General features: G+C 43.2%; 1 protein-coding gene across 11 annotated transcripts in view; it reads left to right on the forward strand.

Moving 5' to 3' along the window:
• DNAH10 (dynein axonemal heavy chain 10) overlaps positions 1-25,882 on the forward strand; it is a 173,420-nt gene that overhangs the window by 46,272 nt on the left and 101,266 nt on the right. For 8 of the 11 annotated variants that reach the window (NM_001372106.1, XM_017018960.2, XM_011538016.3 and 5 more), the window contains 9 exons: positions 225-381; positions 4,592-5,068; positions 5,182-5,340; positions 10,378-10,494; positions 10,576-10,678; positions 12,008-12,186; positions 18,115-18,326; positions 21,974-22,127; positions 24,542-24,775. In NM_001372106.1, coding sequence (NP_001359035.1) covers positions 225-381; positions 4,592-5,068; positions 5,182-5,340; positions 10,378-10,494; positions 10,576-10,678; positions 12,008-12,186; positions 18,115-18,326; positions 21,974-22,127; positions 24,542-24,775 — 1,792 coding nt within the window. Of the gene's footprint in view, positions 1-224; positions 382-4,591; positions 5,069-5,181; positions 5,341-10,377; positions 10,495-10,575; positions 10,679-12,007; positions 12,187-18,114; positions 18,327-21,973; positions 22,128-24,541; positions 24,776-25,882 lie in introns of those variants that run through there. The other 3 variants (XM_017018962.2, XM_017018961.2, XM_011538019.3) reach the window with 3 other exon arrangements.

Raw genomic sequence — 25,882 nt, forward strand, 5'->3', positions numbered from 1 at the left:
AAAAGGTCTTCAGTTTTCCAAAAGTGGAAATGAACTGTTTGTATAAATTTAGTGCAAAAAAAGAGTATTTTAAGTAAGACTCACCCCAGCCTGTCTAGGACAGCCTCACAGTGTGCCATTGCCTGTACCTGTGATTTTTGTGGCCCTGGTCATTTCCATCAATTGCTTGGTGTATTTCACTCTAGTGAGATACACTCTGAGTCTTTCTCATCAACCCCTCTTAGGAACTTGCAGTCTTTTAATTCTTTGATCCTTGGAAATGTCCCTCTGTTCCACACTGAAACCATTCTGACGGCACCTGAGATCATCCTTCATCCCAACACAAATGAGATCGACAAGATGTGCTTCCATTGTGTCCGGAATTGCGTGGAGATCACCAAGGTGAGAGCGGAGGTGCTTGTGTCCTTGCTCAGACGGCATCTCAGGATGCCTCCGCCTCCCAAAGTGCTGGGACTATAGGCGTGAGCCACTGCCCAAGGTGGAATTCTTGACCTTCTGCCTTGTGACTCAGTCATCCCCCAGTTTTCCCCACTTCAGGAAATGGCACCAACATCAAACCAACTGCTTGACCCAGAAACTCGTCCTTGTTTCTTCTTCTCTCACCCAGCCCTGCCCGGCTCACATCAGTAAGTCCTCCAAACATACTTCCCATCTGTCCTCTTCTCTCCTGTCCCCCCAGTACCTTCCTATCCCAAGTGGCCATCACCCCTCTCCTGGACTGTTGCAGTGACGTTCCATCAATCCATTCTCCACCACCGGTGGTCAGAATTACCTTAAACAAATACAAATCAGGCCAGGTGCAGTGGCTCACGCCTGTTATCCTAGCACTTTGGGAGGCTGAGGTGGGAGGATTGCTTAAGCCCAGGAGTTCCAGACCAGCCTGTGCAACATGGTGAGACCCCCCCATCTCTACCAAAACTAAAATTAATTAGCTAGGCGTGGTGGTGCACACCTGTGTTCCTAGCTACTTGGGAGGCTGAGGCAGAGGATTGCTTGAGCCCAGGAGTTCAAGGGTACAGTGAGGTATGGTTGCACCACTGCACTCCAGCCTGGGCAACAGAGCAAGACCGTGTCTCTAAAACAACAACAACAACAACAACAACAACATATCATTTCGTGTCATCCCTGTTGTAAACTGCCCCCACCCACCCCATGACTTAATTACACTTGGAACATAATCCAGATATCTTTGTGTGCTCTGTGAGGCCGCCATGCTCTAGCCCCTGGCTGCCTTTCTGATCTCAGTCCTACGAGGATCATGCTCCCTCATGCTGCAGCTTGACTGGCTGCCTGGTTGTGCCTCCAGCAGGCACCATGGGTTCCTCTTGCAAGGATCTCCATAGCTGTTCCCTCACCTGGAACATTCTGCTCCCCTGACCTTCTTGTCCTCTCTCTCCCGTCACCCCCCTCCCATCTTCCTACCACGTACCACTCTCCGACCTTTTCTTATTTTTTTCCTTGCTTATTTATCTATTGATCCTTTCAGGCCACTAGAATGTAAGATCCATGGGAATACAGACCTTGAGTGTTTTGTTCCCTTTAGAATCCCCAGCACCAAGAACATCTGGCACATAGTTGGTTCTCAGTAAATGTTTGTTGAATGAACATCTGCTGGCAGAAAACCCAAGGTTTATGTCTTACCCCAAATTGGAAAATAGAGCTGTCTTTGTGGGTATGGGGCATCACCCCCCAGCACACTGGCATCTTCCTCTTCACTTGGCTTGTTCAGCAAGTCAGACATGTTTCCGGCATTTTTAGGGGCATAAAAATAAGTTTAGAAATCAGAATAGGGAATTTCATTTCACAGTACTTAAAAATTGATGAATAAGGCCAGGCGCGGTGGCTCACGCCTGTAATCCCAGCACTTTGGGAGGCCGAGGTGGGTGGATCATGAGGTCAGGAGATTGAGACCATCCTGGCTAACATGGTGAACCCTGTCTCTACTAAAAATACACACACATACACACAAAATTAGCTGGGCGTGGTGGCGGGCGCCTGTGGTCCCAGCTGCTTGGGAGGCTGAGGCAGGAGAATGGTGTGAACCCAGGAGGCAGAGCTTGCAGCGAGCCGAGATCGCACCACTGCACTCCAGCCTGGGCGACAGGGTGAGACTCCGTCTCAAAAAAAAAAAATGTTGAATAAACGGTACATGTTTTATAATCCATGCTAAGACAGTTATTTATTAAGTCTCTGTTACATAAATTCTCTTATAGGTGCTGTATGTTATAGGTGCTATGTATGTTTCCTTTGTAAGGGAAACAGCAATTTTTAAGAGGTAAATAAATAGGAAAGTTGGCCTATAAAACATTATGAATATTAATCACAATATTCCATGCCAACTTAACTTTCCTCCTTACTAATAGATGGATTTGAGGCTCTTGGTGAAGCCTGTATTATTTTAGCTTCATAAGTTTTTTCTTTTAAATGAAAATAATTTTTACTTATTCTCTTAGATAAGGTTAAAAATGTATTTCATTAAAAAGATCTTGGCAAATGAACATGCATGGCTAGGCCACTTAATATGGTTGAACTCTTTGATCTTCAGGATTCCTATTTCGTGGCAAAAAATAATGAGCCAAAGTTTTAACTAGTTTCTGAATTTTACCTCCTCTACTAAGTGGAAATGATAATACCATTCACCTTCTAGTGCGTGCTGTTGGGAGGATTAAATTATATAACACGTGTATACAGCTTAGTGCAGTGTTTGGCAATCAGTAGCTCTGAATAAATGTTAGCTATTAGTATTAGTATTACTTTTTTTTTTTTTTTGAGATGGAGTCTTGCTCTTTCACCAGGCTGAAGTGCAGTGTTGTGATCTCAGCTCACTGCAACCTCCACCTCCCGGGTGTGAGTGATTCTCCTGCCTCAGCCTCCCGAGTAGCTGGGACTACAGGCATGTGCCATCACACCCAGATAATTTTTGTATTTTTATTTATTTTTTTTTTTGAGATAGAGTCTTGCTGTTTCGCCTAGGCTGGAGTGCAGTGGTGCAATCTCAGCTCACTGCAAGCTCCGCCTTCCGGGTTCATGCCATTCTCCTGCCTCAGCCTCCCGAGTAGCTGGGACTATAGGAGCCCACCACCACGCCTGGCTAATTCTTTGTATTTTTTTTAGTGGAGTTGGGGTTTCACCATGTTAGCCAGGATGGTCTCAATCTCCTGACCTTGTGATCCGCCCACCTCGGCCTCCCAAAGTGCTGGGATTACAGGCGTGAGCCACTGCGCCTGGCCTAATTTTTGTATTTTTAGTAGAGACAGGGTTTCGCTATTTTGGCCAGGATGGTTTTGATCTCTTGATGTCGTGATCTGCCTGCCTCTGCCTCCCAAAGTGCTGGGATTACAGGTGCGAGCCAACGCGCCCCGCCTAGTGTTAGTATTACTGTTATTAGTAATATTGGAAGCAGAAGTATTAGGTCAGTGCAAAAGTAGCTGTGGTTTTTACCATTAAAAGTATTGGCAAAACTGCAACTACTTTTGCACCAACCTATAGTAGTTGTTATTCACATTTTACAGATGGTGAGCATATTGTTCAGAGAACTAATGTGTCACATACCTATGGTTTGCTGTTATGACTCACGCTTGATTAAAACAGAGCCTTGGCCGGGCGCAGTGGCTCACGCCTGTAATCCCAGTACTTTGGGAGGCCGAGGTGGGCGGATCACGAGGTCAGGAGATCGAGGCCATCCTGGCTAACACGGTGAAACCCCATCTCTACTAAAAATACCAAAAATTATCTGGATGTGGGGGTGGGTGCCTATAGTCCCAGCTACTCGGGAGGCTGAGGCAGGAGAATGGTGTGAACCCAGGAGGCAGAGCTTGCAGTGAGCTGAGATTGCGCCACTGCACTCCAGCCTAGGCGACAGAGCGAAACTCCGTCTCAAAAAAAACAACAAAACAAACAAACAAACAAAAAACAGAGCCTTAACTCTACAGCAGGGAGATGTCAAATTAGCAGATTTGTTCTGGGACACTAAGCAGTCAATTTGCCTGAATGTGTGTTTTTTCCTCTGTAAATATGGAAATAAAAGTTTTTTTAATTCATCCATGGTGTAGTTGGCCTTTATGTTATAACAAGCCACTTCAAAACTTACTGGCATAAAACAATAATCATTTAGCTCTGGGTTCTGTGGGCTGAGTTCTGCTGAACAGTTCTTCTGGTCTTGGCTGGGCTCACTCGTGTCTAGCAGTTGATGACCTCAAGCACAGCTCTGATGGGTGGCGGCTGGGGTTCTCTTGTGTATGGCCTTTCGTGGTGTAGTAGACCAGCTCGAGCTGGTGGTTGCAAGGTTCTGAGAGCATGAGAGCAGAAGCTGCAGGGCTTTCTTGACTCCTTGGTTTGAATTTGCATAATACCATGTCCGCCCCTTTCCATTGGTCAAGTTAAGTCACAAGGCTTGCTCCGGAAGGGAAATAGGCTCCATCTCTTGATGAGAGGAACAAAGGATTATGGTAATTTTTGAATCTCAAATAATTTATTAATAATAAAGTGATTTTCCATTACTGGCAAGACTTATTACTGAATACTAATATGTACGTTGGAGGCAAAATAGATACTAAAATACTGTCTTTTCTCCTAATTCTTACTTTGCCAGCATTTTGTTCGTTGGATGAATGGCAGCTGCATAGAATGCCCACCTCAGAAGGGGGAGGAAGAGGAAGTTGTTATAATAAACTTTTACAATGATATCTCTCTGAACCCTCAGATAATTGAACAAGCTGTTATGATCCCCCAAAATGTCCACAGGATTCTGATCAATCTTATGAAGTATCTACAAAAATGGAAGCGGTATCGACCTCTCTGGAAATTGGACAAAGCTATTGTGATGGAGAAATTTGCTGCCAAGAAACCTCCTTGTGTAGCATATGATGAAAAGTTGCAGTTCTATTCCAAGATAGCTTATGAGGTTATGCGCCACCCTCTAATTAAGGATGAGCATTGCATCAGACTTCAGCTCAGGCATCTGGCAAACACAGTGCAGGAAAATGCCAAGTCCTGGGTGATTTCGCTTGGAAAACTTCTCAATGAGTCAGCAAAAGAGGAGCTCTATAATCTCCATGAAGAGATGGAGGTACTCAATCGCTGTGTGTAATTGAAACTACTTTTCGTGTAAGTTGGGTCTTCATTTGCGCCATTACTGTTTTTTCTGTGTTTGCTTAGTGTTCTTTGTACTTTCTGTTATAGCACCTGGCCAAAAACCTTAGGAAGATCCCCAATACCCTTGAAGATCTCAAGTTTGTCCTTGCAACAATTGCAGAAATTAGAAGTAAATCTCTAGTCATGGAACTCAGATATAGGGACGTCCAGGAGCGATACCGTACCATGGCAATGTATAACCTCTTTGTAAGTCAACTTGTATTTTCTTATTCATTTAACAATTGGATTGACCACTAACGACCCTTTTCAGAAATGCTTCTCAAGTATACTGCCATTGATTTGTTTTCAAATAAGTGACTTTAAGTAATACATTGTAAATGTAAAGCAATGCCACTGTTATTTAGAATAATGAAAATATAGAGTATTTTTCAATCTGTATGGCTCAAATGGATTGATCTGTAACTATACCATTTCCATTCTCCCTTTTCTTTTCTTCTTTTTTTTGTGTTAATTTCCTTTAATAGATAAAGAGCTCTTGCAAAAATGATAAGAAGAGAGTGAAAGATTTAAGATAATAAAAGAAACTGGTAGAAGATAATTCAATTAGTCTTGCTTTGTTTAGGGTTGTTAAATTTGGGTTCTCAGGATCTTTCAAAGTCATGGATGAGTTTTAGGGGGTCTGGGTTCCCCCTGAAGTTGTATGGAAATTTTACATACTGTACATTTTTCTGATGATGAAAGAAAGTCAAGTTTTTGGCCCAGGTCTACTGCTCAGCAAGGGCATTTGTGAGCTCCACATCCTAACCACTAGGCTGCAAGGGTCCTGGTGTTTGAAGCAGTCAAGCAATAGAAATGCTGAAAGACAAACTTCATGCAAATCCTGATTTATTCATAGCAATTTGTTTCTCTTCTCTAGTTTGTATTTCTCCCTTGGCCAGGTAGATTTTTTTTTTTTTTTTTTTTTTTGAGACGGAGTCTCGCTCTGTCGCCCAGGCTGGAGTGCAGTGGCATGATCTCGGCTCACTGCAAGCTCCGCCTCCCAGGTTCACGCCATTCTCCTGCCTCAGCCTCCCGAGTACCTGGGACTACAGGCACCCGCCACCACACCCGGCTAATTATTTTTTGTATTTTTAGTAGAGACAGGGTTTTACTATGTTAGCCAGGATGGTCTCGATCTCCTGACCTTGTGATCCACCCACCTTGGCCTCCCAAAGTGCTGGGATTACAGGCATGAGCCACCGCGCCCGGCCTAGCCAGGTAGATTTTTGTCAGACTTTGCTTCCCTGGTTTACGTCACAGAAATAATAGAAGAATCACTGTAACAAAGGATTTTGCACTAAGTGTGCAATGGGTCACACACAAAAAATGAATCAGAATGTCAAATTCCAACAACAACAACAACAAAACAACAACAGTTGAGATTTTGATTGTGATTGCATTGATCCTTTAGATTAATCTGCACAAATGGACATCCTGTAGTATTGAGTTTTCCTATCCATGAACATGTTCTCTCTCTCTTTATTTAGGTCTTTAATGTCTCCCCGTAAAGATTTATAATTTTCCCCATAGAGGCCTTACCTATTTTTTGCCAGATTTATTCCTAGGTACTTGGTATTTTTAGATGCTCTTGTAATTGGTATCTTTAATTTTTATTTTAATTATTTTATTTTTTATTGTTATATAGAAAGACAATTGATATTTGCATTCTACTTTTTTATGATCAGTAATTATGAATTTTAATCATTTATCCACAGATTATTTTGGATTTTCTAGGCACACCATTTTATAAACTGTGAATATTGACAGTTTCATTTTAATTTTTAAATATTTTGTTTCTTTTTCTCACCTTATGACTCTAGCTAGGAATTCCTGTACGAGGCTGGATGAAAGGGGAGGTAGGGGAAATCCGTGTCTTGTTCTTGATCTCAGAGGAAAAGCTTTTGGCACTGTATCATTAAATATGGTAATTGCTGTGTGGTTTATTAGATTAACTCCAATACAATAAGAGAAATATACAGTTGTGTATATTTAACACAATGGGGATATATTCTGAGAATGTGTCAATGGGCAATTCCATAATTGTGCAAACATCATGGAATGTACTTATACAAATCTAGATGATATAGCTACTACACACCTAGGCCATATGGTAGAACCTATTGCTCCTAGGCTACAATCCTGTCCAGCATGTACTGTACTGAATACTATAAGCAATGTAATATAACAGTAAGTATTTGTGTATCTAAACATAGAAAAGGTACAGTAAAAATACAGTATTGTAATCTTATGGGAATACTGTCATATATGCAATCAATTTTTGGCCCAAAACATCATTTTGTTGCTCTTTGATCTTTGACAAAAGACCAATGACTGTCTTTGGTCATTGTCCCTGGTTCCTGACACAAAGCTTTCAAAACACTTGTAATTTCCTGAGTGATAGGGGTCACAGGAACATCTTTTGTTACAATATTGTTCTTTGTCCCTGGTTCCTGGCGCACAGCCTCTCAAATCCTTGGACTCTGGAGTGACAAGAGTGTCTTTTGTATGCAAGTGAAATGACTGGTGGCTGGGAGCCCTAGGCAGCTTCAGCATGGGGGCTGGTTGCCAGAAAGATCAAGCCATAAATTATTTAGAGGTTTGGAACTTTCAGGCGCCCATCTTTGCCACCCTTGGGGAGGGAAGAGGGGCTGGAGATTGGAGATCAACAAAGGCCAGTGATCTAATCAGTCATGCCTGTATAATGAAACCTCCATGAACATCCCTAAATGATGGGATTTGGAGAGCTTCCAGGTTGTTAACCACACCAAGGTGCTGGGAGAGTGGTGTGCTCAGAGAAGGCGTGGAGGCTCTGTGCACCCCCCAACCCCATACCTTAGCTTATGCGTCTCTTTCGTTTGGCTGTTCCTGAGTTGTGTCTTTTATAATAAATCAGTGATGGGAAGTAAAGTGTCCTTCTGAGTTCTGTGAGCCATTTCAGCAAATGGTCAAATGTGAAGGAGACGTGTGTGGGGGAACCCCTGATTTTGTAGCCAGGTTGGACAGAAGTCTGTGTACCCTGGGCACCTAATACTTGCAACTGGCATCTGAAGTGAGGACAACCTTATGGGACTTACGCCTGCATTTCTATTGAGTATAGGCCTAGACGTGAAGTTGCTGGGTTACAGGAATCCACGTGTTCAGCTTCACTAGATTCTGCTAATTTTCCAAAGTGATGGTACCCCTTTACATCCATACCAGCACGAATAAGGGTTTCAGTTGCTCCGTCTCCTTACAAATACTTAGTTTGTTGATCTTTTGGAAACACCAACTTTGGGTTTTTTTTATCCCTTCTATGTGTGGATATTATTCCATCATCTTCTGGCCTCTATTGTTTTGACGGAGGAGTTGACTGTTAATCTTTTTGTTGCTCCCTTTCAAGGTAGTCCAGTCTAACTTTTTTTTTTTTTTTTTTTTTGGTCTGCTTTTAAGAATTTTTTTTTGGTCTTTGGTTTTCAGCAGTTGTAATATGATGTAACTAGGTTCTTTTGTTTTGTTTTGTTCTTCTTTTTTTTTTCCTGATTGAGATTTGTAGTACATTCAAAATCTGCAGGCTGATGTCTTTACCTAGTTTTGGAAAATTAACAGTTTTTGCCTTATTTTTTTTCCCTTCTGGGACTCCAATTCCACATATGTTGGACCTTTCTACAATACCCTGTACATCTTACATTCCTTTCTGCCTTTTCTTTCTGTGGTTTATTCTAATACTTTGTCCTAAACTTTAAGTTCATTAATTTTCTATTTATTTATGTCTGATCTGCTTTTCCCGGTTCCTTAAACAATCCTTTGAGTGCTTGATTTCAGGTATTGTCATTATCCATTCCAGAATTTCCATTTTAAAAACAATTTCCTGTGCTCTACCAAAATTCTCAATTTTTTGTCTTTTGTTTCCTTGACTCTATTAAATAAAATTATTTTAAATTGTGTGTCTTATAACTCTGTCGTGATCATTTATGTTGTGTGTGAATCTCTTGGTTTTGTTTAAGTTCTTTCGTGTCTTTATATGGCTGGCATTTCTAACTGAGTTCTTAACAGCCTGTGTGATAAATTGGAGAGAGAGGATTGGAGGCGTTGGGTGATGTTATATTTTATCAGAGGAGATTTATTTTTGCTTCTAACAGACACCATAACTGGGTACATTAGCAAGCTAAGCTAAACTTATTCTAATCAGAGATTAAGTTGATTTGAAGCTGGGCTTTAGTTTATGAAGGGCTTATCTCTCTGTAATATCTCTATTTCTTTTTCTCTTTTTTTTTTTTTTTTTGAGATGGAGTTTCACTCTTGTTGCCTAGGCTGAGTGCAATGGCACAATCTTGGCTCACTGCAACCTCCGACTCCTGGGTTCAAGTGATTCTCTTGCCTCGGCCTCCTGAGTAGCTGCAATTATAGGCATGCGCCACCACCCCAGCTAATTTTGTATTTTTAGTAGATACAGCATTTCTCCACGTTGGTCAGGCTGGTCTTGAACGCCTGACCTCAGGTGATCCGCCTGTCTCAGCCTCCCAAAGTGCTGGGATTACAGACGTGAGCTACTGCACCCAGCCTCTATCTCTTTATTTTTAAAAATGATTTTATACTGATTTTATTTTAATTATAAAATTCAACTTTAATATTTATTTTTATTTTACTTTATTTTTTTGAGATAGAATCTTGCTCTGTCACCGAGGTTGGAGTGCAGTGGTGTGATCTCGACTCACTGCAACCTCTGCCTCCCAGGTTCAAGCGATTCTGCCACCTCAGCCTCCTGAGTAGCTGGAACTACAGGCTCCTGCCACCACGCCTGGCTAATTTTTGTATTTTTAGTAGAGAAGGGATTTCACCATGTTGTCCAGGCTGGTCTCGAACTCCTGACCTCAGGTGACCCACCCGCCTCAGCCTCCAAAAGTTCTGGGATTATAGGCGTGAGCCACTGTGCCCAGCCTAATATTTCTTTTTAAAATTTCTTTTTCTTTTTATATTTACAGAGATACAGTCTCACTGTGTTGCCCAGGCTGGTCTCAAACTCCTGAGCTCAAGGGATCCTCCTGCCTCAGCCCCCCAAAGTACTGGGATTACAGCCATGAGCCATGTAATCCCAGTCTGGCCATGTCTGGCCTTAATATTTCAATCAGCTTTTGAGTTGGTTTGAATTACCTAGCCTCCTGTTGCCACAAGCAGAAGTCCCTGGGAGGTAACTTTGACCATCAATTTCAATTCCAAATTGCTCATCATTTGTTGTTTATTCTGTTTTTTGTTTCTCCTAATTAGCCTCCTGATGCAGAGAAAGAACTGGTTGATAAGATTGAGAGCATATGGTCCAATCTGTTTAATGATTCAGTGAATGTGGAGCATGCTCTTGGGGACATAAAGAGAACTTTCACAGAGGTACCTTTTAAATTTCACTTCCTGAGTAAAGACATTGAAAAACGTATTTGGGCTAAATTAATGTAACCTCGTTTTTCTCAGCTTACTCGAGGCGAAATAATGAACTACAGAGTTCAGATAGAGGAGTTTGCAAAGCGTTTTTACAGTGAAGGCCCTGGTTCTGTTGGTGATGATCTTGATAAAGGTAAGAATGTTCCTGTTGGTCTTACTGAGCGATCTGAGTAGCAAATGTTTGAGTATGTTTTGCTTAAGAGTTTTATGGCAAGTGATGATGGTGCCGTGATTAAAATATTTATTTCTTCCTCAAATACTTTTTTCTTGGCTCATTTTAGTGGTCACATTAAAAAAAAAAAAAGCTGGATTAATGCGACTCATTGATTGTTGAGTGCCTGCTACCCGAAGGTGTTGAGAGAAGTGCCAAGGAGCAGCCTCCACTCCTGTGGGGGATACAGAGGTTTCTGCCGCAGCTCAGAAATCTTAAACACCAGCGACTGCCTTTACAAAGGCAGCGTCTTATCCATCCATCTGCCTCTCTAATGCCTGTTACATTTATTCTTTGGATTCAGATGCTTGTCCTCTGCCCTTCACATCACATAGGCTAAAATGGTGACAAGTTAAAAATACTAAAATTCTGTTTTTTTTTTTTTTTTTTTTTTGAGACAGAGTCTCGCTCTGTCACCCAGACTGGAGTGCAGTGGCACAATCTCAGCTCACCGCAACCTCCACCTCCTGGGTTCAAGTGATTCTCCTGCCTCAGCCTCCTGAGTAGCTGAGACTACAGGCACATGCCACCATGCCTTGCTAATTTTTGTATTTTTAGTAGAGACAGGGTTTCACCATGTTGGCCAGGCTGGTCTTGAACTCCTGACCTCAAGTGATCCTCCCGCCTCAGCCTCCCAAAGTGCTGGGATTACAGGCCTGAGCCACTGAGCCGAGTCCTAAAATTCTTATTCTAAAGAGAATTTGGTAAATACCATGAGACAAAAAAAATACCATGAGACAAACCAAAGACTGCTGTGGCTTCCAAAGAAATGGGTGACGTTTATTTAAGGATGCTCAAAAAAGGCATCTGGGAAATGTGGCATTTGAGTAGATGATTGTGAGCAGGGACGTAGTGACCTAGAGTGGTAGTGGTCATTGGAATTGGGGGAGAAGCATAGAACTGGGAAGTTAGAGTGGTAAGGGAGTTATCAGTAGGATGATGATGTTCTCAAGGGGGCGGCAAAGGATGGTGATGTCGACCACAACATAGACCACCTCAGATTCCCTTAAAATAGTCTCCTTTCTGAATGACCTGGTTGTGAGAATTAGGCACAATTTTCTAACTGGAGGAGACTGCAGATGTCATTGGTCTTTTGGTTTTACTTAGAATGGTGCCATGATTCTAAATTTGTCTTCCCGTGTGGTTTATGAGGATGAAATTATAATTGAGATACATTATGCATGATTTCTTATTCAATTTTGTACACCTTAAAATTGTATTTATTCACTCATCGGTGTATTTATTTACTAGGAGTAGAGCTTTTAGGTGTTTATGAAAGAGAGCTGGCAAGACATGAAAAGAGCCGTCAGGAACTGGCTAACGCTGAGAAACTTTTCGATCTTCCTATTACAATGTACCCAGAGCTGCTGAAAGTGCAGAAGGAAATGAGTGGGCTGAGGATGATTTACGAGCTCTATGAAGGACTAAAGGTGAGCATCTCCCTGAAAGCGAAGGACTCAGGCTCACTGAAGGGGATGTAGGAATTACTTAAGCCCTGCAGACTTTGATGCCACCATAATAATGAGCTTGGGTCTGACGTTGTGGAAACGCTCATTTTGGCCGCAGGGAAGGGGGATGGGGAGTGATTGCTTATGGGTACAGGGTTTCCATTTGGGGTGTTGAAAAAGTTCTGGAAATAGGCTGGGTGCGGTGGCTCACGCCTGTAATCCCAGCACTTTGGGAGGCCAAGGCGGGTGCATCACCTGCGGTCAGGAGTTCGAGGTCAGTCTGGCCAACGTGGTGAAACCCTGTCTCTACTAAAAATCCAAAAGTCAGCCAGGTATAGTGGCAGGTGCCTGTAATCCCAGCTACTCAGGAGGCTGAGGCAGGAGAATCACTTGAACCTGGGAGGTGGAGGTTGCAGTGAGTCCAGATTGCGCCATTGCACTCCAGCCTGGGCGACAAGAGCGAAACTCCATCTCAAAAAAAAAAAAAGTTCTGGAAATAGATAGTGGCGCTGGCTGTGTGACATTGTGAAAGTACTTGATGCCACGGAATTGTACATTTTATTTTTATTTTTGAGACAAAGTCTCGCTCTAACACCCAAGCTGGGGTGCAGTGGTGTGATAATAACTCACTGCAGCCTCGAAGTCCTGGGTCGAAGTGATCCTTCTGCCTCAGCCTGCAAAGCAGTTGGGACTACAGAGGTGCACCACCATGCCCAGCTATTCTTTTTTTAGTTTTAGTAGAGGCAATGTCTCACTGTGTTACCCAGGCTGGTCTGGAACTCCTGATCTCAAGCGATCCTCCTGCCTTGACCTCCCAAAGTGCTGGGATTACAGGCATGAGCCATTGCACCCAGCCTGGAATTACATATTTTAAAATGATTAAAATGACAATTTTTTTTTTATGTATTTTACTGTCATCATAGAAAAGAACTCTCTTTGGAGGTCAAGGGCTTGGTTAAGGCATGGGGTAAACTGTTTAGTTGCAAGCGGAGATTAAAAGTTGCCGTGTCAGCCTGGTGTGGTGGCTCATGCTTGTAATCCCAGCACTTTGGGAGGCTGAGATGGGCAGATTACTTGAGGCCAGGAGTTCGAGACTAGCCTGGGCAACAAGGCGAAACCCCGTTTCTACTAAAAAATACAAAAAAAAGTTCCGGGCACAGTGGCTCACACCTGTAATCCCAGCACTTTGGGAGGCAAGGCGGGTGGATCACTTGAGGCCAGGAGTTCGAGACTAGCCTGGCCAACATGGCAAAACTCCATTTCTACTAAGAAATACAAAACTTAGCCAGATATGGTGGCACATGCCTGTGATCCCAGCTGCTTGGGAGGCTAAGGCACAAGAATCGCTTGAACCCAGGAGGTGGAGGTTGCGGTGAGCTGAGATTGCGCCACTGCACTCCAGCCTGGGTGACAGAGTGAGACTCTGTCTCAAAAAATAAAAATAAAAAAGTTGCAAATGTCATGTCATTTGGGTGCCTCTCATTGGTATGTTTCCCATGCAAATTCATGCTATTCATTCATTTATCTATTGACTTAGTTCTTTATAGCTCAGTGCTGTGCTGGTTGGAGTGTGGGGTCCAGAAAAGGAGTCATGTTTGCCCGTTCCTGCCCTTCTTGAGTCCCCAAGGGAGACTGACTATGTTAGTCTGGGTTCTTGAGAAACAGAATCAATAGGAGATATGTGTATCTATATCTATATCTGTCTATATCTAATCTGTATCTATAACCTGTATCTATACCTGTATCTATATCTAATCTACATCTGTATTACATTATCTAATCTATATCTATCTGTATCTAATCTACATATCTATTTCTAATCTATATCTAATGTATATCTATATATCTGTGTCTAATCTATACCTATATCTATGAGATTTGTGATGAGGAATTGGCTCCTGTGATTATGGAGGCTGAGAAATCCCATGGTCTGCAGTTGGCAAGCTAGAGACCCTGGAGAGCTGATGGTATAGATTCTAGTCTGAGTCCAAGTCCGAATGCGGGAGAACACTGACGTCCCAGCTTGAAGACAGTCAGGCACAGAGGTTGCATTCCACCTTCCTCAGCCTTTTGTTCGATTCAGGCCTGCAGTGGATTGAGTGAGGCCATCCATGTTGGGGAGGGCCACCTGCTTTACTCAGTCCCCCAATGCAAACGCTCATCTCACTCAGTATCTCTCACAAAACACCAGCGTCCACTTGACACACAGGATTCACCTTTGCACCGATATGTGAACAAATAACCACGCCCCCAAGATATGTGCTGGAAATGAGGTGGACAGAGTCCTGAGCTTGCAGAGGAGGAAGGAGAGTGGCCCACTGGCCCAGGGAATGCTGCTGAGGAGGTGGCCTGGGAGTGAGGCTCAGAACCAGAGCAGGCTTTTGCCTGGTGCAGAACAAGGCTTTCCAGGCAGAGCGCTGGGCAGGAGCAGAGACAGGAGATTTGAAGTTGTGTCTTGTGTCCATAACCTTTCATCCAGACTGGTGGCTTTACCAACCATGGATGCACCAGGAAATGGGGTTGGGATGTGCGAAGCGGCCGGTGGAGATGAAGCCGTGAGAAGGGACTCCGGAGGCAGCCGGGGGATTGCAGGCAGGGGGTCCTTTAGGAGGTCACTGCCCCAGTGCTGGCAGAAGGGATGGGAGCTTGCATTTTAGGACAATTATAGAGGGAATAGAGAGGAGAGAAGATTCCAGAGATGGGGTGGAAAGTGATGAGACCTGGTGCCTGCACCAGGCAAAAAATTCATAAAGTTAAAAACATACCGTCAGCTTTTAAAAGGAAAGGTATCATGAGAACTGAGAACAACCACACACATGTCAAAATAAGTGGTTTTAAAATGTTTAATTTTTCTGGGTTCATAGTAGGTGTCTATATGGGATACATAGATGTTTTGACACGGGCATGCAATGTGTAATAATCACATCACGGGGAATGGGATGTCCATCCCCTCAAGCTTTTATCCTTTGTGTTACAAACAATCCAATTATGCTCCTTTAGTTATTTAAAAATATACAATTTTTATTGACTATAGTCACCCTGCCATGCTATCAAATACTAGGTCTTATTCATTCTTTCTGGTTTTTTTTTCTGTAGCAAAATAAGCATTTTTAAAAATCCAATATTGAGACATAGCTTGGTCCCCCCAGCCTACTCTGGTCTGTGGATGTTAAGGGACATTTCATCACCTAGAGTGACTTCCACTCTCCTTGAAATTTATTTTTTCCTAGCAATTGCTTTTCAAAGTTGTGTGCTGAGAAGAGTCTCAGTGACACACTGGGTGGCTTCTGGGAGGCTGGGCAGGGGACTGTCATCATAATCCCAGGGGATCCTGGGGTGGCAGCGGTGCAGGTTGGGAAGCATGGGTGGATTCTGGATCTGGTTTGCAGGTAGAGTCAGTGGGACCTCCTGGAGGTGTGGATGTGGGATGTAAGAGCAAGAGAACAAGGAAGACTCCAAGGTTTTTGGCCTGAGGAGCCGGAAGAGTGGAGTCACTCTTAAGGGAAGACTCCAGGAAAAGAAGGTTTGGGGACGATGGTGAACATCTGGAATTCAGGGCAAGGTGATGTCTGCTGGACGTTCCTGTGGTGATGTTGAGGAAGCAGCACTTGGATGTATTTGTCTGGAGCTCAGAGGAGAGCTGGAGGTGTGAATTGGGAGTGTCCAGGTGCGGAAGGTACTGAGCCACCAGTTCAGATGGGCTCACCTGGTGCCTTCGTTTCCTGGGGCTGCCAGAACAAATGATTATGAATACATGGTTGTGAATACAGACCAGGAGGCTGAAAACAACAGAAATGTATCTCCTCACGGTTCTGGAGGCCAGGAGTGCAAAATCAAGGTGTCTGCAGGGCCACGATCACTCTGGAGGCTGCAGAAGAGGCTTCTTCTTGCCTCTTCCAGCTCCTGGTGGCTTTTGACTGTCCCTGGCGTTCCGTGGCTTGCGGCTGTGTTGCTCCTGTCTCTGCCTCCCTCATCACATTGCTGTCTTCCCTCTGTGCCTCTGTGTCTGTTTTCTCTTCTTATACGGACACCAGTCACTGGATTTAGGGCCCACTCTAATCCAGTATGACCTCACCCTAACTACCTCTGCAAAGACCCTCTTTCCAAGTGAGGCTTCATTCTGAGGTTCTGGGTGGACGTGCATTTTTGGGGGACGCTATTCAGCCCGGTACACTTGGGAGTGGGGTTGGTGGAGGAGAGGAGCGAGGTCTGAGCCTGGGTCTCTCCAACATTAAATGCCATGAGAATACGTCCCTAAAAAAGGAAAGACGAGGAAGAGGAGGAGTGGCCCAGGTGGTAGGAGAACAAACAGGTGAGTGTGACATCTTGGAAACGTGTTTCCAGGAGGTAGGACTGGCCAACTGCACCAGATGCTGCTGATAGATCAGGTGAGAAGAGGATGGAAGATTGATCACAGTATTGCATATTGTGGAGGCCACTGGTGACTGCAACAAGAAAAAAATCAATGGAGTGTGGCCGTGGAAGCCTAAATGGAGCGAGTCCAAGGTGTTTACCTGAGAGAAGAGAAAGCATGGTCCTTGCAGAGACTTCTGCATGAATGTTCATAAACAGCATTGTTGGTAATAGCCCAATACTAGAAACAACCCAAATGCCCATTAAGTGAATGGATAAATAAGCTGTGGCTCATCCACACCACGGAATACTACTACTCAGCAAGGTAGAGGATTGAACCAGTTCTCAGCGCATCCACGCAACAACATGGGCGACTCTCAGAATCGTCATGCTGAGCGAAAGAAGCCAGATACAGAGGAATGCATATTGTATTATTCCATTCATAAAAAACCCTGGAAAATGCAAACGAATTTATGGTGGCAGTACACAGATCTGTGGTTAACTGGGGGTAGGGACAGGAGGAGAGAGATGGGAGGGGTTATGACACAGGGAAATGGGGCAGCTTTTGAGGGTGATGAATGAGTTTGCTATCTTGATTGTGGTGGTGCTTTCACAGGCATGCACACCTGTCAAAACTTTGCAGATTGTACCTTTAGTTATGGACAGCTTATTATATACCAGTTAATCCTCAATAAAGCTGTTAGAAAAACAGGCCAGGTGTGGTGGCTCATGCCTGTAATCCCAGCACTTGGAGGCTAAGGCAGGAGGATTGCTTGAGCCCAGGAGTTTGAGGCCAGCCTAGGCAACCTAGCAAGACCCCCTGTCTCTGCAAAATAAAATAAAAAATATCCAGGCCTGGTGGTGCATGTCTGTCGTCTCAGCTACTCAGGAGGCTGAGATGGGAGGATCACTTGAGGCCAGGAGGTTGAGGCTGCAATGAACTGTGATCACACCATTGCACTACAGCCTGGGTGGCAGCGAGACCCTGTCTCCAAAAAAAATAAAAATAATAATTTTTACATTAAATCTCAGGAAAATATAACACAGAAAATCTTCTCTTTACAATCATCAAGTAGGAACATGTTTTTCCTCACTTCTTAGCCTCAACCTGATGGTTTGTAAACAGATTCTTGGATTAGTGATCTAGAGTGTAAATATTTTGTAACCTTAGCTGCTTTCATCAGGGAAAAGAAGCAAGCTATGACAGCACCTGAATGAAGTACATCCTTTAAGACCCACGCAACTCCCTGATTTAAAAAACACCTGTTAATTACTTTATACCTCTCACTTTTGTCTTTAGAAAGGGAAGATGTATTTCTGGATCCCACACATCCTCAGATACAGCATTATTTTTGCAAAAGCTTACAAAAAGTGGAATTCTTTTCTTGTTGTTTTAGATCCTTGTAGTCAACCTCTTGTTTGTGAATTTCAGGTAGTTGTAGATAGATGGGTAATACTTTAAAATATCTGAACGTGACTAAGAGTCAAGAACTTGCTCTCCTTGTTGCATTTCCAAAGGGGTCTTTGTTGATGGAGCTGTTCCTTGCACGTTTCCAGGTTGCAAAAGAAGAATGGTCTCAGACCCTTTGGATCAACCTGAATGTGCAGATTCTCCAGGAAGGAATTGAAGGTTTTCTCAGGGCTCTCAGAAAGCTACCTCGGCCAGTCCGTGGCTTATCAGTGACCTACTACTTGGAAGCAAAAATGAAGGCATTCAAAGACTCGATTCCTTTACTTCTTGACTTGAAAAACGAGGCACTAAGAGACAGGTTTGTTTTGTCCTCTGTCCGCAGATGTAAAAGTGTGGGAGGAGCTTTTAGTTAAAATTGTTTCCCTCAGTACATTATCTTTGGTCTGATGATGAAGCACACAATTTCAACAATGCCGCAGGGCTATACATGGGCACGACACAGTTCTATAATGTTGTTTCTATGTAAAGTGTCTGTAAAACTGTCAACCACAGGATTCTTTTAAAAAAGAAAGATCCCAGCAGGTGCAAAGTGGGCGTTTGCAGTTGCTTTTCTCGAAGATTTAAAAAACTATAGTAAGTGACCTTGATCAGCCCCATCCAGCAGACATCAAACGGAACTCACATATGTAATTTACAGTTTTTTAGCTGCTACAGTAAAAGAGTAAAAACAGGTGAAATTAATTTTAATAGTATATTTTAATTAACTCAATATATCCCAAACATTATTTCAACATGTAATCAACATGAAACATTTATTCATGAGATATTTTACATTCTTCTTAAAAAATATGTCAAAGTGCAATGTGTATTTTATATCTATAGCCTATTTCAACCTGGGCTTGCCCCGTTTCAAGTGCTCCATAGACACGCGTGGCTTGTGGCCACCATACTGATGGGATAGCCAGCCCTGTGGGTGGGACAGAGGGGGCATGGGTCTGTGTTTATTTGGTGATGGCACCACACAGACACGAATTAGGAGTTACAGTCCTCATTTGTGAGTTATGCTTCTGCTCGTGTTCCTCTATTCCTCGGTCATGTTTTCCAAAGTGTGGTCATCTAGTCATGCCATGACATCAAGTGACTTCATTTTCCCTAGTGAGAAAGTCATCCCTTCTTTGGTTCCCTTCCTATCCTTGAGTTCACACTGAGAAAGTCTCTCGTAAGTGCTGGCTTGTTTTCAACACCTGTTACATCTGTCTCTCCCTCTCAACAAGGAGCAGGCAGCCCTCAGGCCCTGGTGACGTGGAGTCTTAGCCCTCTTTTCACTGTCTGCTGGCTTCCCTGGAGCACTCACCTTTACCTTTGCAGGCTTCAGTTTCCTCATCTGTAAAACTAGGTAGAAGTAGGCATTTTCTAGCTAAAGTTCTCGGTTTTATAATCCCATAACCCAGTGTTTCTCAAACTTTGGTCCTGTCTCATCATTTTTGTCAGATCTGAGTATCATCTATGCTGTCATGGCTTTATATTTTTCTTCCTATCAGTTTCTTTTTTATGGAAATGAATGTTATTCTAAAAATAAACTTCCACCACCACTGTAAAGAGAAAACCAAAAGCTCTTGCCAGAAATAGAAAGTAATTATTAAAAAAAAAAAAACTAGCTCAAAACAGTCGCCTGTCTCTGAGCCAGAGACCTTCGCTCTAAGAAAGGTGAATGACCCTGGGGAGGGACTGAGGACACAGCGTAAGAATTAAAGAAAGAGGAAAGAAACACAAAAGGTGGCTTGCCAGTCAAAACAGGTTTATTTTAGAGAAAACAAACCTGAGAGGGGATTCTGGCCAAGTTAGGTCAGAGCCACACTCTCTTAGAGACTAAGAGTTTTTAAGGATTTAGGGTGGGAGAGCTTATCTGAGGCTTGGACTGCTTCTGTGTCTCTCTGTTGTGCTTATCTGGGAGGGAGAGTTGTGTGTCTATTCCCATTCATTTTTCTGCAGCAGCAGGCATACTCGCCGAGTCTGCTTTTAGCTCCCCTATCTTAGTGCACCTGAAGGGAAAGGAATGTTCTTATTAAGGTCCACTGTTTTACTGGGACCCATTGTATAAGGGTGAAGTTTGGCAGTTACCCAAGAGACTTCCTCCTCTCCTCCCTCTGTGCCTGAGCTGTCTTGTCTATGTTTTCCTGTCTGCTCTTTCTGGTGGCTTGTAGTTAGAAGATAAGTGATTTCCTTAAAATGCATGGGCTGGAAAGGGAGCTGGACCTTAAAGTGGTGGTGTTTGTCCAAGATGAGGTTGCTCCTGCTCTGTCACACAGAAGCACAAAGAGGAGACTTTCCCTTCGATGTAATTTACTGTAATTGAAAGGACTGGGCGGGAACTGGAGAGGGAATCACTCTCTCCCAGTGACTCAGGGCTGAGTTATGTTGAGTGTGGACCCTCTAATCCACCACCAGGGTTATGTCACAGGCTGGCCCCAGGTCCGCTCTGCCCACATGCAGTCCATCAATCGCCGTGACATGGGTTTTGCGAAACAGATTTATTTGCAAGGCCGCCAAGCAAGGAGGCAGGTGAGCAGCCCTCACATCTGCCTTCCTGAAGATAAGGCTTAGGGATGTTTAGGCATTAGGGGAGTGGGGTGGTCGAAGTTGAGGGGGAAGGTGGTTGGTGGTGGGAAAAAGGAAGTAACAGGTTCATTCTGAGCAAGTGTAGCTGGGGTTCACAGCATTTCACAGGACATAGGCACAGAAAGTGGGGGCATCGGCATGGCCTGAGGGTAGAGTGTTTGGCCTTCCAACGTCAAAAAGGCCACCTCTGGGGCACTTGCACAGGCCCAGTTGAAAGGTCAGTGGTCTCAACCAGTTGGAACTGGACAGAGGAGTTGGTTCAACTTCCTGAAAAACAACCAAAGTCACCATCGCCATCGTGGCCTGTGAATGTTATCCATAGTAGCCAGTGAAGGTTAAGTTTCAGCGTTCAGTGGTGAGACCTTCAGCTTCATGGGAAAAGGGGGAAAAAAATAAAAAGCAAGTGACCATAAGCCACAGAGCAGGCACTGATGACCCTTACCCTTCAGTTTCAGTTCTGACACCCTCCTTCCTGTCCGTGCTGTGCTAGGCCAGGGGGTTCAGAGACCGATGAACCAGTAGGGCCTCCTTTCTGACCATTTCCATGGCCGTGTGTGTGTGTGTGTGTTTACAACACTCAGTGATTCAACACTTGCTGCTCACGTGCTGGGTACGTGGCGTTCTGCTGTCTAGCGTCATGCTTAGCTGCCTTACTCACACCCATTCCATATACACAGAACTAAAACATGGGCAAATTCACAGGCCAAATGCAAAACCTTAAAGGAAGGCCAGTCAGGTGAAGAGCAGAGCTGCCCCCGTTGTGTCTGTGTGCACAGGAGTCTGCCCCGACTGTCCCGTCTGAATGGGCCCCTTCATACCTCCTCTGGCACACTGCAGTTTTCTCATAGTACTCAAAACCCTATGTCATTATTTAATTTATAGATTTGTTGATTGTTTGTTGTTTGTCTCCCCAAGTAAGTGGCAGGTTCTCTGAAGCTAGGAGCCTTGCCCTTGATAACTCTGTACCCCAGTCCACTGCCTGGCACGGAGTCAGCACTGAAATATTTATCAAATGCACGAGAGCTCATAATTTACATGAGGCTCTCAAAAAGGCTGAGTGATTCAACAGAGGTTGAGGTCATTGGTTGAGAGACTATGACAGAAGCCGTTCCCAATAATTAAAAGTTGTGTATTTTATGAGAAGGCCGTGAAGACTAGTGTATAGTGTATACAGTATTTTGCAAGATGTTGTTTTCCGGTTTAACTCTGGAGGCCAGTGGGATTTTGGAGAACTTTGGGAATATATTTCTAATGATGTCCTCATGTTGCAGAATTTCATTATAAGAAGTTTACAAAATGAGATTTGTCCTGTGATTTAAATGGGAGTAATTGAACTCCTCACTAAATTCAGTAAGCATAAAGATTTGAATGCTGATGTGCTTTCAGGCATTGGAAAGAACTTATGGAAAAAACGTCTGTCTTTTTTGAAATGACCGAAACGTTCACCTTGGAAAATATGTTTGCTATGGAACTGCACAAACACACAGATGTTCTCAATGAGATTGTCACAGCAGCAATCAAGGAGGTTGCCATTGAGAAGGTAAGACTTCAGTTAAAAACAGGCTGGAGAAAACAGTCTTTTTTTAATTCAAAGAGAAAATAGGGAGAACTCATCTATACTAAAAAAAAAAAAAAATTAGCTGAGCGTGGTGGTATGCCATTACTCCCAGCTTCTTGGGAGGCTGAGGTGGGAGGATCACTTGAACCTGGAAGGTGGAGGCTGCAGTGAACTGTGATCGCACCATGGCACTCCAGCCTGGGTGACAGGGTGAGACCTTGTCTCAAAGAAGAAAAACAAACAAAAAAGAGAAAACATATTTGCTCTAGTACCTGCTGTACTTCAGTAATAAAGAATTATTTGTTGTAGAAATAGAATTTCCTTAATTAAATTTTTTGTTGTTCCCAATTGTAGTTTCATTTTCCATTGTTTAAAAAAATTTTTTCTTATTGTTTCTTATTTATTTATTTTGCCATTGATTTTTAAATAGATGTAATGGATGTTCATGGTAGAAAATTGAAAAAAAATTCATAATCCCACTACCTGAAAATAATTATTAACTTTTTAGTGTATTTCTTTGCCTACTTAAAAATGCATGCACACATGTATACATATGCATACACACATACTACTCATATATGTGCACATACACCCATGCATTTGTATGCACTAACATACACGTACACAGGTACACACATACACATATCCCTACACATATATGTATATAGTCAGGTGTCACCTAATGGCAGGGACACATTCTGAGAAATGTGTCCTGAGTTGATTCGTGATTGTGCAAACAAACCTAGCTGGGATGACTACTGCACACCTAGGCTATTGGGTAGAATCTATTGCTCTAGACTGCAAGCCTGTACAGCAAGGAACTACATTGAGTACGGCCAGCCATTGTAACCTAATAGTACGTGTGTATCTAAACATAGAAAAGGTACAGCCAAGGCCGGGCATGGTGGCTCACGCCTGTAATCCCAGCACTTTGGGAGGCCGAGGAGGGTGGATCACGAGGTCAGGAGATCGAGACCATCCTGGCTAACACGGTGAAACCCCGTCTCTACTAAAAATACAAAAAAAATTAGCCGGGTGTGGTGCCGGGTGTGGTGGCGGGTGCCTGTAGTCCCAGCTACTCGGGAGGCTGAGGCAGGAGAATGGTGTGAACCCAGGAGGCAGAGCTGCAGTGAGCCGAGATCGCACCACTGCACTCCAGCCTGGGTGACAGAGCAAGACTCTGTCTCAAAAAAAAAAAAAAAGGAAAGGTACGGCCAAAATATGGTCTAATAATCCTATGGGACCACCATTATATATGAAATTCATCACTGAATGAAACATCCTTATGCAGTACATGACTGTACATAGTACACCACACATGTATACACACGTATATGCATGTAGACACATATGCATGCAAACACACAAAATATACATACAGTGTGCACACAGTGTACCTAACATATACACATAATGTATACACACATGTACATATGCACATAATGTACATACAGTGTACCTAATATACACACGTACACATAATATATATACATGTATACATATACACATAATGTACACACAGTGTACCTAATATATACATGTACACATAATGTACACTATGTATTCGTATACACACGATGTGCACACAGTGTACCTAGTATGCACACGTACATATAATGTACACACATATACATATACACACAATGTTCAGTGTACCCAATATACACAGGTACACATAGTATATACACATGTATACATATACACACAGTGTACACAATATACCAAAGATACGCATAATATACATATAATGTACACATGTACGTATGTATACACATATACATATGTATCAATACAGATTTTTTTTTTTTTGAGACAGGGTCTCCCTATGTTGCCAAGGCTGGTCATGAACTCCTGGGCTCAAGCAGTCTGCTCACCTTGACCTCCTAAAGTATTAGGATTACAGGCATGAGCCACCGCACCCGGCCTCAATATAGATTTTTTGTTTTGAATATGGAATCATAAGAGGCATATCATTTTGTAATTTGGTTTTTGTGACAGTAGAGTAAGCACAGGGGCAGAATCTCATAACTGTGCAGACTTCGGGGGCAGACTGTGGGGTTTAGACCCTGTTTCTGGGGCTCAGTAGCTGAGCTTCATGTCTGAGCCCCAGTTGCCATCTCTGTAAAATGTGGGTGATAATAATCCCTACCAATATACTTTGAGGTATTTGCTTTGAGGACTGAATGAGATCGTGTATGTGACATGCTTACCTGCCACATAGCGAATGCTTGATAAGTGGCAATTATTACCATGACAGAATCCCAACTTTTCAGGAAACAGACCCAGGACTCCGATTGCATTGTTGGCCAAAAGCAAGCTAAGGAAGGTGTTTTTGGGTTGGGGCTCGGTCCTTTCAGTTCGTGTGCCTGAATCATTCTTTTTCTATTCCTGAACAGGCTGTGAAGGAAATCCTAGACACGTGGGAAAATATGAAATTCACTGTAGTCAAGTATTGCAAAGGCACACAGGAGCGAGGCTACATCCTGGGTTCTGTTGACGAAATTATTCAGTCTCTTGATGACAACACTTTCAACCTGCAGAGCATCTCAGGAAGCAGATTTGTGGGGCCTTTTCTGCAAACTGTTCACAAATGGGAAAAAACGCTTTCTCTAATAGGGGAAGTCATTGAGGTGAGAGAAAAGATGAACAAAAGATGGATTAGAGCCAGTGCATAGCAGTGGCTTTTATATGAGGATATTTTGTGCTTAGAACTTTTATATGAGGATATTTTGTGCTTAGAAACAAATGATCCTCTTTCATACTTTTTTGTCTTGATTTATTTTGAGGACAAGAGTGCATGATCAAAGGAATTGATCTGAATTTTTATTTTAGTGAATGATTTTCATTTCCAAGATTCCTAATTGCTTCTTTTTCATATATCTCTGTTTTTCTTTGATACTGTCCTGTTCTTGTTGCAAGGATGCTTTTGCCTCCTTGATGACACTGAAAATTAGAAACATACTTATTTTACATTCCTTTTCGATTTCTCTACACTTTTTAAAAAAATGTCTGTTGACTCTCTCTTGTGGTGGTGGATTTTCCTCTGTGTGATTTTGATTTTTTTTTCTAGCTCATCTCACATGTAGTTTTTTTCTTGTGTTTGCTTCACTTTGTCATCTGTTTTTGCAGCCTCTTTAACCTGAGGCCTGTCACACTGGGAAGTAGCAAGGTCTTATAGTAGGTGGTTTGGGGCTTTCTTCCTTTTGGGCAATACTTATCCAGACCTCTGTGAGCAACCCAGGCTCACTGCACCATTTTTGTGCAGTTGCCTTTTTTTCCTCCCCAGACCACAGGCAAGCACCTTGTTTTTGGCCACAATCCAAGCCTTGGGTGGGATGAAGCCAGGCCTGGTTCACTGGCCAACTGTGTGATCAGGCCTCCATCATGCCTGGGCTTCCTTTCCTTGCTTTTTTGTTTGTTTGTTTTGTCTATGACTTTGTGTTAGTGGAAGCTCTTATGTGGGATATAGCACTGTTTTTTAATTTGTGAGTAAAAAACAATTTTTTTTTAGATGGAGTCTTGCTCTGTCACCCAGGCTGGAGTGCAGTGGTGCCATCTCGGCTCATTGCAACCTCTGCCAGCCGGATTCAAGTGATTCTCCTGCCTCAGCCTCCCGAGTGGCTGGGATTACAGGCATGTGCCACTATGCCTGGCTAGTTTTTGTATTTTTAGTAGAGATAGGGTTTCACCATGTTGGCCAGGCTGGTCTTGAACTCCTGACCTCAAGTGACCTGCCC

The sequence above is a fragment of the Homo sapiens genome, chromosome 12 (genome assembly GCF_000001405.40).
Source record: "Homo sapiens chromosome 12, GRCh38.p14 Primary Assembly".
Classification (NCBI taxonomy): domain Eukaryota; kingdom Metazoa; phylum Chordata; class Mammalia; order Primates; family Hominidae; genus Homo; species Homo sapiens.